This window comes from Homo sapiens, chromosome 16 (assembly GCF_000001405.40).
Source record: "Homo sapiens chromosome 16, GRCh38.p14 Primary Assembly".
In the NCBI taxonomy this organism is placed as follows: Eukaryota; Metazoa; Chordata; class Mammalia; order Primates; family Hominidae; genus Homo; species Homo sapiens.
The window spans coordinates 69101092-69117742 of NC_000016.10; the positions used below are offsets into that span (position 1 = coordinate 69101092).

A 16651-nucleotide genomic window follows, 5' to 3' on the forward strand; every position below is an offset into this window, starting at 1 on the left:
CCCAAACAGTACTTGCAATCTACTCCTATCTTGCTCAGACATGTTCGGTAATTCCCCATAACCTACTGGATACAATTCAAACTCCTTATTTGGTCACTCCAAGTCCTCCACTCCGGTCCTAGCATCCTCCTCCTCACAGCAGCTAGAGGGTAACAGGCACTTCCTACACAGCAGGCCCGGCTGGAACAGGCCCTGCTGGAAGCTCCTTTATTTTTATTTTTTATTTTGAGGCAAAGTCTTACTCTGTCACCCAGGCTGGAGTGCAGTGGTATGATCTCGGCTCACTGCAACCTCCGCCTCCCGGGTTCAAGGGATTCTCGTGCCTTAGCCTCTTGAGTAGCTGGGATTACAGGCATGTGCCACCACGCTTGGCTAATTTTTGTGTTTCTAGTAGAGACGGGTTTCACCATGTTGGTCAGGCTGGTGGAACTTTAGTGTAGATTTCTTCTTCCACCCTGGCCTCTCTTGGCTGTCCTCTAAACACATGTCCCCCATTCCTACACCTGGTCTTGTACTTAAGCTATCCTTCCTACCTAAAATGTTCTTCCCTTTCTACATAGCAGCTCAGGTTCCCCATGAAACTGCCCAGCCTGTTCCAGCTCACAGAGACCTTTCCTGAAATCCTCAAACTCCTCATGTTGGATTCTCTCATCAATATTTAATTATAAACTGCCTTGTACAGTTTATACTTGTACTCTTTTTTTTTTTTATGAGACGGGGTCTCGCCCTGTCGCCCAGGCTCGAGTGCAGTGGCACGATCTCGGCTCACTGCAACCTCCGCCTCCCGGGTTCAAACGATTCTCCTGCTTCAGCCTCCCAAGTAGCTGGGATTACAGGCGCAAGCTGCCACACCTGGCTAATTTTTTGTATCTTTAGCGGAGACAGGGTTTCACCATGTTGGCCAGGCTGGTCTTAAACTCCTGACCTCGTGATCCACCTGCCTCGGCCTCCCAAAGGGTTGGAATTACAGGCATGAGCCACTGTGCCCGGCCTATACTTGTACTCTCAAGCACATTTGTCTTCAAAATGGGTAACGTTCTAGATGGCAGGGACCAGCCCGAGATCTCCAGGTGCCAAAGCAGTGTTCTCTACTCAGAGCAGGGCTTCAGCGTTTGTTAAATGAGTGTTGTAAGTGCAGCGTGAATCTTCTACTACTGAGCCAAATAGGAAGGCTTATTTATCCTCTGGAACCTGTGGAAAAGCCAATTCAGCAACATCTGAATTCATGTTTTTAAGTGATTGGGTGTGGAATTAGCCCTATTTCTAAATCCCCAGTGGTAAGCAGAGATAAACTCGAGCTTGATTGTAGCAGCCCCTTAAAGAAACCCCTCCCCACCTCCCCGTGAAGGGATGAATGCAAATAGGACACCACAAACTGGATGCTAATTACAGGCAAATCCTCCCTGGCATAGACTGCCATAAAGGTAAAGACTCTCTTATCTGCCTGATAACACCAGGTCCCTGGCCCTGCAGATCAGAAAAAAAGAGAGTGCTCCCTAGGGCAGGCCATTTAGGGGGCAAAGCCAATTAATTGGTACAGGCAGGGTGTTTGTTGTCCTCATGAGGTTCTATCTGGACCCACTGTTGGTTAAGGAGGTTTTCATGGACTCGTGAGGTTGTGCTGAACCAGCCCCACCACCTGGAAAACTCCGTGGAGCTGGCGGCGTGAGAAGGGCAATAAGCCTTGGGACACAGTTGGAGTCTAAGAAACTAACTAGGCATGAGATGGTCCTGGCCCAGCCCCAGGGAGACAAACTTGCACCCAGAGAAGTCATGTTGCTGCTGAGTGAGGACGGAAGGGATCCTTCCAAACTGGCTTCTCCATTCCTTGGGCTTCTAAACAGGTCACTTACAAGCAGCCAGTTGGCTGGATATGACTCAGACACATTATGTCTGGCCTGTGGAGTGTGCATGTGTGTGTGTGTGTGTGTGTGTGTGTGTGTGTGTGTGTTTCCTTCAACATTTGAATTACCAATGCTTAAAAAAATTAGGAGATTTCACATACAAAATCTGGATTTCTGGCTTCTCTTGACAACAGAGCACCTGGCCACATGAGGCCCTCCCTCCACAGGGAGATGAGCCTCTAAACGGAGCGTTTGCTCTCCACCAGGCTGATGCACTCATTTTTGCCCTTGCCAAGCCCCTGCTTATTTTCTCTGATGTTGCAGATTGCAAATCTGGGAAGGAGGAAGGATCAGAGATATCCTCATCTGCAGCAACTCCAGGGGTCTGTGATGCCTCTGGGTGTGCAGGAGGTAGCCCAGGGCTCCAGGGTTCATAATGCAAGAGAGACAAGACATTTTTCTTTCTTTCTTTCTTTTGAGATGGAGTTGCCCTCTTGTTGCCTAGGCTGGAATGCAGTGGCACGATCTCGGCTCACTGCAACCTCTGCTTCCTGGGTTCAAGTGATTCTCCTGCCTCAGCCTCCTGGGTAGCTGGGATTACAGGCGCCTGCCACCACACCTGGATAATTTTTTGTATTTTTAGTAGAGACAGGGTTTCACCATGTTGGCCAGGCTGGTCTCAAACTCCCGACCTCAGGTGATCCACCCGCCTCAGCCTCCCAAAGTGCTGGGATTACAGGTGTGAGCCACCACACCCGGCCAGGCAGTTTTCTTTTATTCAAACACTGATCCTTGAACTTGCTGTCACTGAGTGCTCTAGAGGGATGGCCATGTAGAACCCGTGGCATGGGCAAAGGATGCTGCTGTCTGGTTTACTAACACTTGCTGAGCGCTTACCCTCAGCCAATCTCTTCAAACTTCCTATCAGTCCGCCTAGCAATCCCATCTGTGGGATGAAGACACTGGGGCTTACTGGCAGACTCTAGAGCCCTCCCCTCCACCAACCTAAGGCTTCTTCTCCATCTTTGTGTAAGTAGGAATGGCTCTGGTAGGGCCCCTCAGGCCATCTGAAGTTCAAAACACATTGGCAGCTGGGCTGGATAGCATGCCTATAGGACTAGCTCCTAGGGAGGCTGAGGCGGAAGGGCTGCTGGAGTCCAGGAATTTGTTTTTGAGACAGCGTCTTGTTCTGTTACCCAGGCTGGAGTGTAGTGGTTCGATCATAGCTCACTGTTGCCTTGACCTCCTGGGCTCAAGCAATTCTCCTGCCTCAGCCTCCCTAGTAGCTGGGACTACAGGCACACTCCACCATGCCTGGCTAATGTTTTTTTTTTTTTTCTTTTCTTTTCTTTTTCTTTTTTTTTTTATTTTTATTTTTTGAGATGGAGTCTCACTCTGTCGCCCAGGCTGGAGTACAGTGGCATAATCTTGGCCCACTGCAACCTCTGTCTCCTGGGTTTAAGCGATTCTTCTGCCTCAACCTTCCCAGTGGCTGGGACTACAGGCACGTGCCACCATGCCTGGCTAATTTTTGTATTTTTTAGTAGAGATAGGGTTTCACCATATTAGCCAGGCTGGTCTCTAACTTCTGACCTCGTGATCCGCCCACCTCGGCCTCCCAGAGTGTTGGGATTACAGGCGTGAGCCTGCACCCGGCCCTGGCTAATTTTTTAATTTTAATTTTTGTAGAGACGGGGGAAGTCTCGCTTTGTTGCCCAGGCTGGTCTTGAACTCCTGGCCTCAAGCGATCCTCCATCTTCAGCCTCCCAAAGTGCTGGGACTACAGGTGTGAGCCACTGTGCCTGGCCAATAATGTAAGATGGGATTGTGTGGAGTAGGTGTGCCTGGGGTCTTTGCTTGCCTGCGGGGACTGAGGTGTGAGGTCTGTGGCCCAGACTGAGCAATGGTGGGCAGGCAAGTCCCTGAGCCCCTAAAACTTGCGAGAGGAGAAGTTTATAGACTGCAGCTCAGGTGCCTATAAATTTGTTGCAGCTTGGGAAGAAGTGATAGAAATTATATCAGGTGTATTTGGAAAACAGGTAAACTCTGTTTTTTGGTTTTTTTTTTTTTTTTTTTTTTTTTTTTTTTTGGAGACGGAGTCTCGCTCTGCTGCCCAAGCTGGAGTGCAGTGGTGCGATTTCAGCTCACTGCAACCTCCACCTGCGGGGTTCAAGCGATTCTCCTGCCTCAGCCTCCCGAGTAGCTGGGATTACGGGCATGGTGCCCGTAACGCCGAAAGTGCTGAGATTACAGGCTTGAGCCACGGCGCCCGGCCACTCATTTTTTAAAAACTAGTTATTAATTATAATTTCTCTTCAAGTTTTCCTGAGATGTAAAAACTCATCGCCTTCAGCTGGTTCTAAACTTCTTGTCTCTGCTAACAACTCTCCCCCCTCCTCGATCTCACCCCACCCCAGTGCACCCCAACTCACTTCATCTCACTTTACTCGAGTCTAGCACTATCTTTTAGGGACCTGAAAACTACTGTCGATAAGGTCAGTTGGGAATTTAGGAGGTCATGGATGTCGGAAATAAAGGTGTGAAAAAGAAGAGGAGGAATTGTTTTGGCTTTAAGACACCGGAACCTCCAAGGTTCCTACAAAACCGTTTGCAGCTTTTGCAAACCGCCTTAAAGTCATCAGCGCCCCACTGCGGAATTCAAAGCTAAGCTGTCACAATTGTTAACACCTTCTTTGACCAGCCTTTTTACATTTGACAATTCTCTTCAGCGCCTCTTTCCTGCCAGCAGGAAGGTTTTGCTGCCTTGGCTTTCGGGAGCCCCCTAGACAGCGAACTGCCCCTTCGCGTGCAGAAGTCGGGGAAGAGTGCTCTCAGCTCGCCTTCCTTGCAGGGTGAGTAGGTTTTGCGGGTTAGAGAGCGGGGCGTGGGGGCGGGGAGGGAGAGTAACAATTTTGGAAGTCCCTGCGTGGTATCTGGAAAGTTAACGACGCTTCAGGTTCTAGGTTGAGCCCAATGACCGTCTTGCCTTGGCAGCTGGTCCCAGGGCGATTGCAGAGCCGCGTGGCCTTCGGCCCCACTCGGGGGACCCAGCTTCGGAGAGGGCGCAGGGGCTGCGAGTCTTGCGAGCCGGAGCCGCGTCCACCCGGGACTAGGCGTCCCCGCCGAGCGCTGGCTTGTGGCGCTCCCTGGGACCGCGCGGGGTCGGGGGTGCGCCCGCGGGGGCCCTCCCACTCTGGTCAACTTTCCCGGCCCCAGGGCCGGGGGAGGCGCCTCTCCTGGCGGGCACGCGCCGGGTACTTAAGGGCGGCTCGGCTGGGCAGGCGGCAGTCGGAGCGCGCGGCGGCGCGGAGCGGAGCGGGAGGAGGGGCATGGAGCCGCCGCGGGCCTGCTGAGCTCCGGAGCGCGGCAGCCGGCGGCACGGTGAGCGCGGGCCGGCCGGCACCCAGGAGGGGAGGGCCGCGCGGGGCTGCGCCGAGGCCGGGGCGCGCCGGGTGGCAGGGGTGCCTCTCGCCGAGCCCCCCGCACCCGGCCAGCTCCCAGCCCTGCGGGCGCCGCGTCCGGCGCGGGGAGGCGGGTTGGGGGCGGCGGCAGCCCCGGGCTTCCCGGCGGCCGTTCCTGCAGCCCCCTCCCCACTGACCCCTCCTCCCTTTCTTCCTGCATCCTCTCCTCTTCCAGCCTCGCCTCCCTCCTCCCCGGCGGCTCCTGTTTTGTGAATGAATTAGGAGGCGGACGCCGGTGCGGGGCTCCAGGCTGGCTGGGGTACCCCTCCCCCGCACCTTCTACGACCTCCCGGGGGTTTGCACCTGTCCGGGCACCAAGGTACCAGGCGCCCACGTTCCTGCGGGTTAGCCGGGCCGCGGCAGCACGTGTCCGGGGGAGTGGGCTCCCCTCCCCTGGCCGGCCTGGAGGGGCCCGGAGGGCGGCCGGGCACAAGAGGAGGAGCCCCGTTGGGCGCACAAGTTTCCATGCCGCTGCGTGTGGCCCTGCCGCGGGGCGCACCTGTCAGCGGGAGAGACGCTGCACACCAGCAGCCCCTCAAAGTTTCGGAGGCTTGATGGAGAAGCGTGCGTCCTTGACTGGGGGTTCTCCTTCCGTAGTCCTGGGAGCCGGACTTGAGAGCGCCCCCAACCTTGTGCCCTTGAAAGCCGAGTGCGCGTTAGTTTGCCTGGGCTGGGCTCCCGTGGATGAGCGAAGGGCATGAGGAGGCGGCGGTCCAGGCTGTAGGATCACCCCACAGCCTCTGCCGGCTTGGGGTGACACAGCCCCCCGCCCCAGGTCTGGGCAGGAGAACCTCGACCACAGCCTGCACCAGCGCCTGATTGCACGTGGGGTATCTGGCTGAGGGACATTTTGGGGGCCTCTATTTGGGGGTGGGGGTAGTAACCTGGGTAATGCCTCTAATTCCTGCGGGGGAGGGGTCCCGCCCAGGGAAGGAGAGGGCCGGCTACACCGGGGATGCGCCTTTGTCTACAGGCACACTTTGCCAAGGTAGCTGGGGTACCAGGAAGAGCAGGGCCTGGTCCGACTGGGATCCCTTGGGTTTTCCGTTCCTTCCCGGTTGGGTCGTGGGAAAGCGGCACGTGGGTGTGGCCGGCGCCGCCTTTGCCAAGAGGCGAGGCTCGAGCGGGGATGAGAAGCGTGGCGAGTGCGTTCGCGGCTGCTTTGACCTGGTGGGCGCCGCCTCCGGCACTGCACCGAGGCGGGGCGCCAGCGCCCAGGTTGCTGGGCTGGCCTTGGCGCCCCCTTCCCCTACCCAGAGCGCAGGCAGGCAGGGGGGTCCCGCCGCGCCCCTTCAGCATGTAAGCTCCGGAGGGGAATGGGGGCGCTCCTAGGCTGCGGATGCAGGCCTGGGGACTCCTGGGCCGCAGGCGCGAGCAGTAGGGTGGCAACAGGGAGGGCTGGGAGTCCTGTGAAGGAAGCACACGGCGGGCTCCCCGGGACGGTGGGGCAGAGCGCCCGGAGGCCGCGCTTCCCGGAGAGGCTAGGCTGCCAGCAGCTCTTTTCGGGCCAACGCTGCTGGAAGGCTGCTAGTGCCGGAGTCTCAGGTCGATTTAGGCAGTGACTGCGTGTTCTTCGTCCCTTCTACGTGAGAGGCGTCCCGACAGGAAAGTGTGTTTGTTTTGGGGGCTCCGTTTCCTGAGACCTAAGAGTTGGAGCAAGCTTGGAAGCGAGGCATCATTGTCTGTAGACCTCAGTGAACATGGGGTTCTCTAGATCAGGCAGGTGGCAGAGAGGAGATAGTGTGGGTCAGAATGGGAAGGCCGGCAGCCATCCTTGCCACCTTTTCTTTCCCCTCCCTCACATCCCCCTCCCCACCTGCTCTGGAGGAAACCACAGTCACCCTCACCACTAGGGTAGCTCTTCGGGGCCGGAAGTGTTTCCATTTTTAGGGAAATGACTTACCTGAGACATGAGGCAGGAATCCATTAGAACTCCCATTGTGCTATGGGGAGACCAAGTCTCAGAGAACTGGGGCAAGGTCAGGCAGCCAGGAGGCAGAAGTGCTGTCTTAAACCCAATTCTCTAGTGCCAAGTCCTGGGCTGTTATAAAATACAGCTGTTTCCAACAGGGGAGATGTTAGGAGCCCTGACTTAGTTGCAAATGGAAACCGGGCATTGTTTCCAGGAGTGGCTGGGCAGGGGGACACGCACAGAGACGCATGCTGCACGGGCACTAGGACCAAGCGGATGGGATGCCCAGGCAGCCACTGTGGAGGCTGCTGCAGTGGTGGCTGCAGTTCCCTGTGCTTTCTTCAGCCCTGGGCTCTAGGAGGCTGTCCACTCCCCAGCTTGCATTTCCTGGTCTGCCTCTCCCCCTGCTTTCCCTTTCTTTCCTGCCTCTCAAGTAAAAGGTGAGAAAGTGGAGGACACAGGGAAAGTTTCTCTAATAACTGTCTTGAGAAAGGGAAGCTGCTGCTTTTTCCCAATGCCCCTTTGTTTGCTGTTTCTTTTGCTCCTGCACTTTCTTCTTGGGTCTTACTGGTGGCTGCACTTTACTGGTGAATATCCCCTCCAGGAGTGGGTGCAGGGTAGGGGGAAGCTCTTAGGCCACTGGCTGCCTCCCTGGCCCTCAGGTGCCCAGAGCTGCCTCAGGCTCACCCCCTTGAAGCTTACCTCTTCAGCGCTTTGGGCCAGGTAGAGCCCAGTTCTGCCACCCACCAGCCAGATGTCACGTGACCCTCTGGGCCTTGGCTTGTCTACCCCAGTGCTACACTAAGGGCTTTGTATGTGTCGCCCATTTAACCCTCAAAGATGCCTTGAGGTTAGTCCTGCAACCCACATTTTACAGATGACGTAAGGGGGCACAGACATCAAGTGGCAGAGCTGGGATCTGAACCCCAGTAGTCTGGCTTCTGAGTCTACCAAGTCTTATGCTCAGTAAGCGGTAACGGTTTTGATCAGTGGGTCATGTCCACTAGTAACAGAGAACACCCATGCTCCCACGGACTGGAAATGCTGCCTCCTGCCTGACCCTTCATCTCCTGCCTTCTCTCGCCAGATGCCGGTGCAGCTGACGACAGCCCTGCGTGTGGTGGGCACCAGCCTGTTTGCCCTGGCAGTGCTGGGTGGCATCCTGGCAGCCTATGTGACGGGCTACCAGTTCATCCACACGGAAAAGCACTACCTGTCCTTCGGCCTGTACGGCGCCATCCTGGGCCTGCACCTGCTCATTCAGAGCCTTTTTGCCTTCCTGGAGCACCGGCGCATGCGACGTGCCGGCCAGGCCCTGAAGCTGCCCTCCCCGCGGCGGGGCTCGGTGGCACTGTGCATTGCCGCATACCAGGAGGACCCTGACTACTTGCGCAAGTGCCTGCGCTCGGCCCAGCGCATCTCCTTCCCTGACCTCAAGGTGGTCATGGTGGTGGATGGCAACCGCCAGGAGGACGCCTACATGCTGGACATCTTCCACGAGGTGCTGGGCGGCACCGAGCAGGCCGGCTTCTTTGTGTGGCGCAGCAACTTCCATGAGGCAGGCGAGGGTGAGACGGAGGCCAGCCTGCAGGAGGGCATGGACCGTGTGCGGGATGTGGTGCGGGCCAGCACCTTCTCGTGCATCATGCAGAAGTGGGGAGGCAAGCGCGAGGTCATGTACACGGCCTTCAAGGCCCTCGGCGATTCGGTGGACTACATCCAGGTAAGGGCGCCTCCCTAGGAGCGTGTGTACATGGGGATAAGTCTGGACAGCCTGGCAAACTCTCCGCCAAGAATCTGAGGTCTGGTCTAGGTCCCTTGGGTTGTGCACACACCTGTGCACTTAAGAAGGCAACAAGGTGGCCGGGCGCGGTGGCTCACGCCTGTAATCCCAACACTTTGGGGGGCCGAGGCGGGTGGATCACAAGGTCAGGAGATCCAGACCATCCTGGCTAACACGGTGAAACCCCATCTCTACTAAAAATATAAAAAATTAGCCGGGCATGGTGGCAGGCGCCTGTAGTCCCAGCTACTCGGGAGGCTGAGGCAGGAGAATGGCTCCTGGGGAATAAGGCGTGAGCCACCACACCCGGCCTTATTATTATTATTTTTTAAAGACAAAGGGTCTCACTATGTTGCCCAGGCTGGAGTGCAACGGCTATTTAAAGGCATGATCAATACGCACTATAGCCTCAAACTCCTGGCCTTGGGCAGTCCTCCCACCTCATCCTCCCTAGTAACTGCGATTACAGGCACATACACCACCGCACCCAGCTCCATGTTAGCCCTTTTAATCCTCTTAACACTCCCAGGGAGAAGTGCTATTATCTCCACTCATAGAAGGTGAAAGCAAAGCACAGAGAAGCTAAGTAACTTGCCTAATGTCCCATTGCTAGTAGGGTGCAGAGCCAGGATTTGCGCCCAGGCCGTCTGTCTCAAGTCTTCTCTTACCTGTGATGCAGCACTGCCTCAGCAATGGCAACGTGGGGCTGAACCTCTTCATAAGAAAGCGTGGTGAAGAGCAAAAGAAACCATCCTCAAAAACACTCAAAATATTCTAGTTATGGCCAAAAAGTCCCATTCTTCCTAGTGTCAAAGTCATGTCTGGGCGGTGAGAGACACAGGTGCGAATGACTAGCTTCATTTTGTAGGAGCATCGGCAGGGGCGGGACCCTGATTAAACCCTGCCCAGCTTTGGTCAAAGCAATCACTGACATAAGCCTGGAAATTGTACTAGGTTGATATGGTTTCCATCTTCAAATAAAAAAAACTCAAGAGTTGAAAAGATTAAAGACCACATCTTTCAGTACAAAGTAGAAACCCTAGGACCCTGGATTTCTAGGCCAGGATTTTTTTTTTTTTTTTTTTTTTTTTTTTTTTTGAGACAGAGTAGCTGGGATTACAGGTGTGCACCACAACACCCAGCTACTTTTTGTAGTTTTAGTTAGGGACAGGGTTTCTCCATGTTGGTCAGGCTGGTCTTGAACTCCTGACCTCAGCTGACCCACCCACCTTGGCCTCCCAAAGTGCTAGGATTACAGGCGTGAGCCACCGCACCTGGCCTAGGCCAGGATTCTTGATGGCATCCATGCTGCCTCTCTTCCTGACTCTGTTCTCTGACCTCCACGCCTGCCAGAGCAGGGTGCTGCCCATCACTTGATCAGTGCTTGAAGGTGCAGTGGCTGTCCTGCCAGCCCACCTGTGTACCAACTCAGTCTGCTGACAGCATTTTGAGTCCCCTAATACGATTTTTCTCTGGTGTACACACCTAAAATTAGCTCACTCAGATTGCGTGTCTGGCTTTTTTGACAGTTGTCTCTGCATGAGGGTTGATATGTTTATCTTTTTCTGGCTTCCTAGGCCCAGGACCTCCTCAGTCATGGAGGGAGTTAGGAGAGCTTAGCAGGCTGTTTTGACTGCAGTTCACCTGGGGTCGTGGGACCTTGTGAAACTTTCCTGGGGACCCAAATGCTTAGGGAAAAGCCCTTGAGCCCTGGCACAGGCTCAAGCCACAGTGACTTTGTCATCTATTCCCTTCAAGCACAGGATCTCACCCCCACCCCACCCTGCCATCTCCCTTTCCTGGCCATCTGGGTTCTGGTGGATCAGCAAACAGGCTCACACACCTGAGCTGTCTCTTTACAGCCCTGGGATCACTGCATAAGGTTGCCCTGGGCCAGAGCCAGTGAGCGCTTGCTGGATCTCAGCCTGTCTTCTAACCGCCTGCTGCGGAGGTATCTCTCCCTCCTAGGCAGAACTCTGCCCGAGCCAGTGGGGAAACCCAGGCAGCACGAGAGCTCTTCTTTCCCTAACCTTGCTCAGTTAGAAAGACATCCAAGACATCCCTGGACTGAAGGAAGCAAAGCAGCATATAAAGAATGGGCTAGGGCAGGGGCAGGGAGGAGCAGTGAGACCAGCAGAACAGCAGCAGTGCTGGGAGTCTTGGCCTGTAAGTGGAGGAGGCTCTGCTAGTCTGGCCTGAGGCTTCCTGGGCCCTTCCCAGGCATGGACCAGGATGTAAGGATATGCCTGGTGGGGAGGTGGGAAGAAGCACATATGAGGGACTCAGCCTGGTGCTGATGCTGTTCTGATTCCCCCTTAGCCTTCTACTGCTTATCTGTGGCCACCCTGTCTTCCAACATAGAGAAAGCTGGGTGGGGTTGTGGTGTCAGAGGCAGCCTCCTTTCCTGCAGGAATCTTACTCAGCAACTTTAATACAAGGATCTTAGGCTTCTACAGAACAGGGTTTTGGTTTATCTGTGGATCTCTTTGTTGCTCTCCTAACAGTGACCACAGAGTAAATCAGGTCTGTAAACCAGTTCTCCTGGCCAATGCTCACTGGATTTGTGTACCACTTCACTAATTTTTTAGAAACCAGAAAAGGAGTCAGCCACTAGGGCAACTAGTGGCCTGGGTTCAACTCATAATGAGACCACCTGTTAGAATCAGGCCATAAGCCTCCCAAGAGCTGGGCAGAGTTGGCCCTGGGGTCTGCCTGGAGGCAGCTGCTGCAGCTTCCATGCCTATTCAGAGCAGCCTCCAGGGGGAGCCCTCAGCCATACCGTGCCCTGGTCCGAGAGGCTCGGCCAAGGGAGTCTGTTGAGGGCGCAGAGGCCAGCAGCCTTATTACTGGTCTCATAGAGGTGCCTGCAAGTAGGTAGTCTGGTAACCACCAGTGGGCTGCAGGTTGTCCAAGGGGTCAGAGGCTGACACGGGGACCCCTGTGGTTAATTCTGTGGGGTCACTTAAGGCCATATGCAGCCTGTTAGTCCTGGGCTACCCTACTGTGCCTGCCATCTGATTTCAGTGACGTTTCCCTTCTGCCGAAGGACCCCAGAGCAATTTTTTGCGTCCAGTGCTAAGCATGTCTCTCTCCACGCCTGGCACCTACTGTCTTCAGGGTTTCTCCCTCTCAGCCTAGTGGCTGTCAAGTCTGGTAGCTGTACACTTTTACTAGCTTTCATTTTACCTCTGGCACCTTCTGGTAGCGCAGATCTCTTAGCTAGAGGCTGGAAGTGAGTCATGTGTGAAGGGGTCATGTCTCTCAGGCAGTGAGCAGCCTGGCAGTGGGGTGGGGGACAGGGTGTGCAGGTCTGAGGTCAGAATGGGCTGACGACGCACTCCCTCTGCAGGTGTGCGACTCTGACACTGTGCTGGATCCAGCCTGCACCATCGAGATGCTTCGAGTCCTGGAGGAGGATCCCCAAGTAGGGGGAGTCGGGGGAGATGTCCAGGTAAGATGAGACCAGGGATATCTGTGGGGAGGGGTCTGGACTCTTTTTCCTAATCCAATTGGATATGCCTGGGAAATGGGTGTCTTGACTTCCTAGTATTGGGGGGAGGTTCCTCGCTGGCAGTTTTCACTGACACCAAAGAGCTCGCCCCCCTCACTGCCCAACCCCTTTCTTGCTCTTCTTCCACATGAGGGGAAGTCACTTAAACAGGTATGGAGCAGAGTCTATACTGCAGGAGGGGCACAGTATTTTGAGGCCATACATCCTAGAAGGTACTTCCTTTTTGGCCGGTGGTACAGCAAGTAGCTCCAAAGTCAGATCCTTGAGCAGCCCTTGCTCTTAGGAGATGGGCTGAAGAGCTCTGGTCAATACGGTAAGAATAAGGGCCCCAATCTGCCAGAGATACTGAAGCAGCATCCCAGGTCCCCTACAACTTTCCAACCACAGAAATCTCAGGACAGGTGGTTGTGGTGGTGTTTTGCATTCTTCCCAAGCCCCCTTCTCTGCCACCACCACAGGCTGCCTCCTGAGACCGAAGGTGGCTTTGACTGCTAGAGCCACTTAGTGGGGAAAATCTCTGCAGATAAGATGACACAGTAGGGAGGTAGAGCTGGTGCTGGGGACAGGGATTGTGTGTGGTTGGCTCCTCTGAGCCTCAGGTTTCCCAGCTCCAAAGGAACCGATGGCCAGGAATCTAAGCAGCGGGCCACAGAAGCCATGGTAAGGAGGCCTCGTGGTCTCTGATGTCTGTCCTCCGGACGTGCAACCTTAGGAGGCCCAGCATCTCTATTCCCTTGCAGATCCTCAACAAGTACGACTCATGGATTTCCTTCCTGAGCAGCGTGCGGTACTGGATGGCCTTCAACGTGGAGCGGGCCTGCCAGTCCTACTTTGGCTGTGTGCAGTGTATTAGTGGGCCCTTGGGCATGTACCGCAACAGCCTCCTCCAGCAGTTCCTGGAGGACTGGTACCATCAGAAGTTCCTAGGCAGCAAGTGCAGCTTCGGGGATGACCGGCACCTCACCAACCGAGTCCTGAGCCTTGGCTACCGAACTAAGTATACCGCGCGCTCCAAGTGCCTCACAGAGACCCCCACTAAGTACCTCCGGTGGCTCAACCAGCAAACCCGCTGGAGCAAGTCTTACTTCCGGGAGTGGCTCTACAACTCTCTGTGGTTCCATAAGCACCACCTCTGGATGACCTACGAGTCAGTGGTCACGGGTTTCTTCCCCTTCTTCCTCATTGCCACGGTTATACAGCTTTTCTACCGGGGCCGCATCTGGAACATTCTCCTCTTCCTGCTGACGGTGCAGCTGGTGGGCATTATCAAGGCCACCTACGCCTGCTTCCTTCGGGGCAATGCAGAGATGATCTTCATGTCCCTCTACTCCCTCCTCTATATGTCCAGCCTTCTGCCGGCCAAGATCTTTGCCATTGCTACCATCAACAAATCTGGCTGGGGCACCTCTGGCCGAAAAACCATTGTGGTGAACTTCATTGGCCTCATTCCTGTGTCCATCTGGGTGGCAGTTCTCCTGGGAGGGCTGGCCTACACAGCTTATTGCCAGGACCTGTTCAGTGAGACAGAGCTAGCCTTCCTTGTCTCTGGGGCTATACTGTATGGCTGCTACTGGGTGGCCCTCCTCATGCTATATCTGGCCATCATCGCCCGGCGATGTGGGAAGAAGCCGGAGCAGTACAGCTTGGCTTTTGCTGAGGTGTGACATGGCCCCCAAGCAGAGCGGGTAAAGTGCAATGGGTAAGGGAGGGAAGGGGAATGGAAGAGAAAAGACAGGGTGGGAGGGAGGAGGGAGTGCTGTGTTTTAGTCTCTTAATGGTCCAAAGGACAAATCTAAAATGCAAAGAACGGTGATGTAGTATGGCCTGACAGCTCTGTTTAGAGGAGGCAACACTGATCCCCCAGATGCAGGGCTGCAGGGGATTCTGTGTTTTCAGACTGCCTGTCTGCTTGCATCTGCACATAGGCAGTAGCCTCCTCCTGGGCTCCAGAGGGCACTCAGAAGTTGTGCTAAACCAAGTTAAGTCCCATTCAGTGGCAACTTGTGATAGGTACCTGAGTGACGGCAACCTGCGGAAGGAGGTTCTCCCAGCCCATCTGAACACAACCAGAGGTGGCAGGAGAATTTCTACTGAGCGAGCTGGGCCGGTTAGTGTATGTCACCCCCACCCCACCCCTAAGTAGTCATCAATGCAATAAGATTGCGCCTGAGATACAAGGCCCAGAAGCCTGATCTTTGGGCATCAGAAAACAGGGTCCAGGAATGGTGCTTTATGTGAGATACCCCACTCCACATCAACATTCCAGGGATGAGCCAAACCAGCAGGGAGTTAGCACTGAACTGCTTTTAAAAGTGCACATTAAAAAGGAAAGTTTGCCAGGAGGAACAAAGAGATTGTGGTGGTGCTAAAGGAGGCCATAAGCTACACAGAGGCCTTGGGTGTTCCACCTGGAAACTGCTCAGACGTCTAGATGGGTTCTTAGCTTGTCTGTGATCTCTGCTGGGGAGATAAAAAGATTAAGCCCCAACATGTTCAGAAAAGAAGTGAAGTCTTGGGTATTTTAACCTGTATACTCTTGAATTCCTCTCAAATTCAGCTCTGATCTGAGGCTAAGACACACTCCCCACTTCACTTTCTTCAAAGCCACATTTTTTGAGGTATCACTGCAGTCACCTCTTCTACCCTCATCATCATAGGTAAGGTTTTCAAGGTGGCAATTGGGGCGGAGCCCCGGCTCTTATAGAAGCTTCAGCAGGAGGCAAGCGTGTTCTCAGCACATATGGGAACTATGAGGAGCCTCTGATCAAATTGGCTACAATCTTGGAGCTGCTTGGACGGATTCCTTGGCAGCCGGGTTAGCATGTGTGACTTTCAGGCTACTGTTCTTGACAATCATCTCCAATGGAAAGCTTTTCAGTGTTCCCAAAGTGAACTCTCAAATCCAAAATGGTTATCTTTGAGACCATCCATTCTCCTCAGTGGCTTCTCCAGGGAATTCTTACAGCCAAGTTGTGACAGTCACTGCATTTGCCTGCTTCTTTCCAGAAACCAAACTAGGAGATGAAACTGGTTCCTACATCCTAAGGTTCTTGCTTTCTCTCTCATGCCTCCTGAGGCTGTTTTTGGCTGTTTTCCCTCTGCTGCTTTTGGGGAATGAGGGGAAGCCATTTTCCAGTGACTTGCAATCCAGGCTGTTCTCAGCGTTTTGAGTTTAAAACCTGGGATCCTGACTAAGCCTTTGACTTAAGGGTTGCTTGCTTGCCCTCCAAATGTCCTTTCTCAGAGGGGCCAGCTAACCCGTGCAGAACCAGCACTAAGGTGGACAGCAGACAAGAGGGCAAGCCTCTAGTGTACCAAGTGCTTCCTACAAAGACGCAAGGTGTGCTCTGAGCCACAGATGGGCAAACCCTGGTGCTTTCCTTCATCTCCCACGAACTCAAGGGTTTTCCAGGTGTAGCTAACAGTTGCCACATCACACAGACCTCGAGTTTCTGGTAAGACTGCTGGTTGACATCAGACCCAACCCATGAAGGCTGGAAGGCAGCAGGCATTTGCTAAGGCAGCTGATCCAGGCAATCGTTCTGCTGGCCAAGAAGTTAAACTATTTTGAGCATTAGAATGGAGGAAATCCGGTCAGCCAAGTGCAGAGTTCAGACTTCGCTAAGGGCTTGTTTTTCTTCAGCATTTACTTGAAGATTAATGTAGGATGACAGGCTCTCCTGGCTGTCCTACCATCAGCTCTGCCTTGCACTGTGGTCGTCAACTTTCCTCAAATCAAAAACAGGCAGGTACAGGTAGTGGGCTCACAACGTTTGACCTCGACTGGTTTTTCTAAGTTATTTTGTACATTTTTCAGCAGCAAAACCAAACTGGGTCTTCAGCTTTATCCCCGTTTCTTGCAAGGGAAGAGCCTTTATACAATTGGACGCATTTTGGTTTTTCCTCATTGAGAATTCAAATCCTCTTTTGTATTGTTTCTACAATAATTTGTAAACATATTTATTTTTACCTGCTTTTTTTTTTTTTTTTAATTTTCAGGTCAAGTTTTTTATACTGCACTTATTTGTCAAAATAAAGATTCTCACATATGCCGGTTATCTCGAAACTACTACTTTGTATTTAATGAAAGCTAGCTCTTTATTCCAGTTTCCAAAGAGGGACTTAAAATAGAAAGTTTAG

The 16651-nt window shown here is 53.9% G+C and overlaps 1 protein-coding gene across 8 annotated transcripts in view, besides 3 other annotated features; it reads left to right on the plus strand.

Moving 5' to 3' along the window:
• HAS3 (hyaluronan synthase 3) overlaps window positions 1-16651 on the plus strand; it is a 35236-nt gene that overhangs the window by 17608 nt on the left and 977 nt on the right. For 2 of the 8 annotated variants that reach the window (XM_047434046.1, XM_047434045.1), the window contains exons 3-6: window positions 4574-4696; window positions 8305-8940; window positions 12350-12451; window positions 13252-16569. In XM_047434046.1, the coding sequence (XP_047290002.1) occupies window positions 8305-8940; window positions 12350-12451; window positions 13252-14175 (1662 nt within the window). In that variant the 5' untranslated portion in view covers window positions 4574-4696 and the 3' untranslated portion in view covers window positions 14176-16569. Of the gene's footprint in view, window positions 1-4561; window positions 4697-5130; window positions 5226-5480; window positions 5625-6448; window positions 6605-8304; window positions 8941-12349; window positions 12452-13251; window positions 16570-16651 lie in introns of those variants that run through there. The other 6 variants (XM_011523061.3, XM_047434047.1, NM_001199280.2 and 3 more) reach the window with 6 other exon arrangements.
• Window positions 4227-4775: an enhancer, noted in NCBI's record as "OCT4-NANOG hESC enhancer chr16:69139221-69139769 (GRCh37/hg19 assembly coordinates)". NCBI's record gives its function as "activates a minimal SCP1, AML or CMV promoter by ChIP-STARR-seq in naive H9 embryonic stem cells {active_cell/tissue: H9 hESC(naive)}" and the evidence as "EXISTENCE:reporter gene assay evidence [ECO:0000049][PMID:30033119]".
• Window positions 4909-5188: a silencer, noted in NCBI's record as "silent region_7651". NCBI's record gives its function as "represses an Ori minimal core promoter by ATAC-STARR-seq in GM12878 lymphoblastoid cells {active_cell/tissue: GM12878}" and the evidence as "EXISTENCE:reporter gene assay evidence [ECO:0000049][PMID:35858748]".
• Window positions 8272-9241: an enhancer, noted in NCBI's record as "H3K27ac-H3K4me1 hESC enhancer chr16:69143266-69144235 (GRCh37/hg19 assembly coordinates)". NCBI's record gives its function as "activates a minimal SCP1, AML or CMV promoter by ChIP-STARR-seq in naive H9 embryonic stem cells {active_cell/tissue: H9 hESC(naive)}" and the evidence as "EXISTENCE:reporter gene assay evidence [ECO:0000049][PMID:30033119]".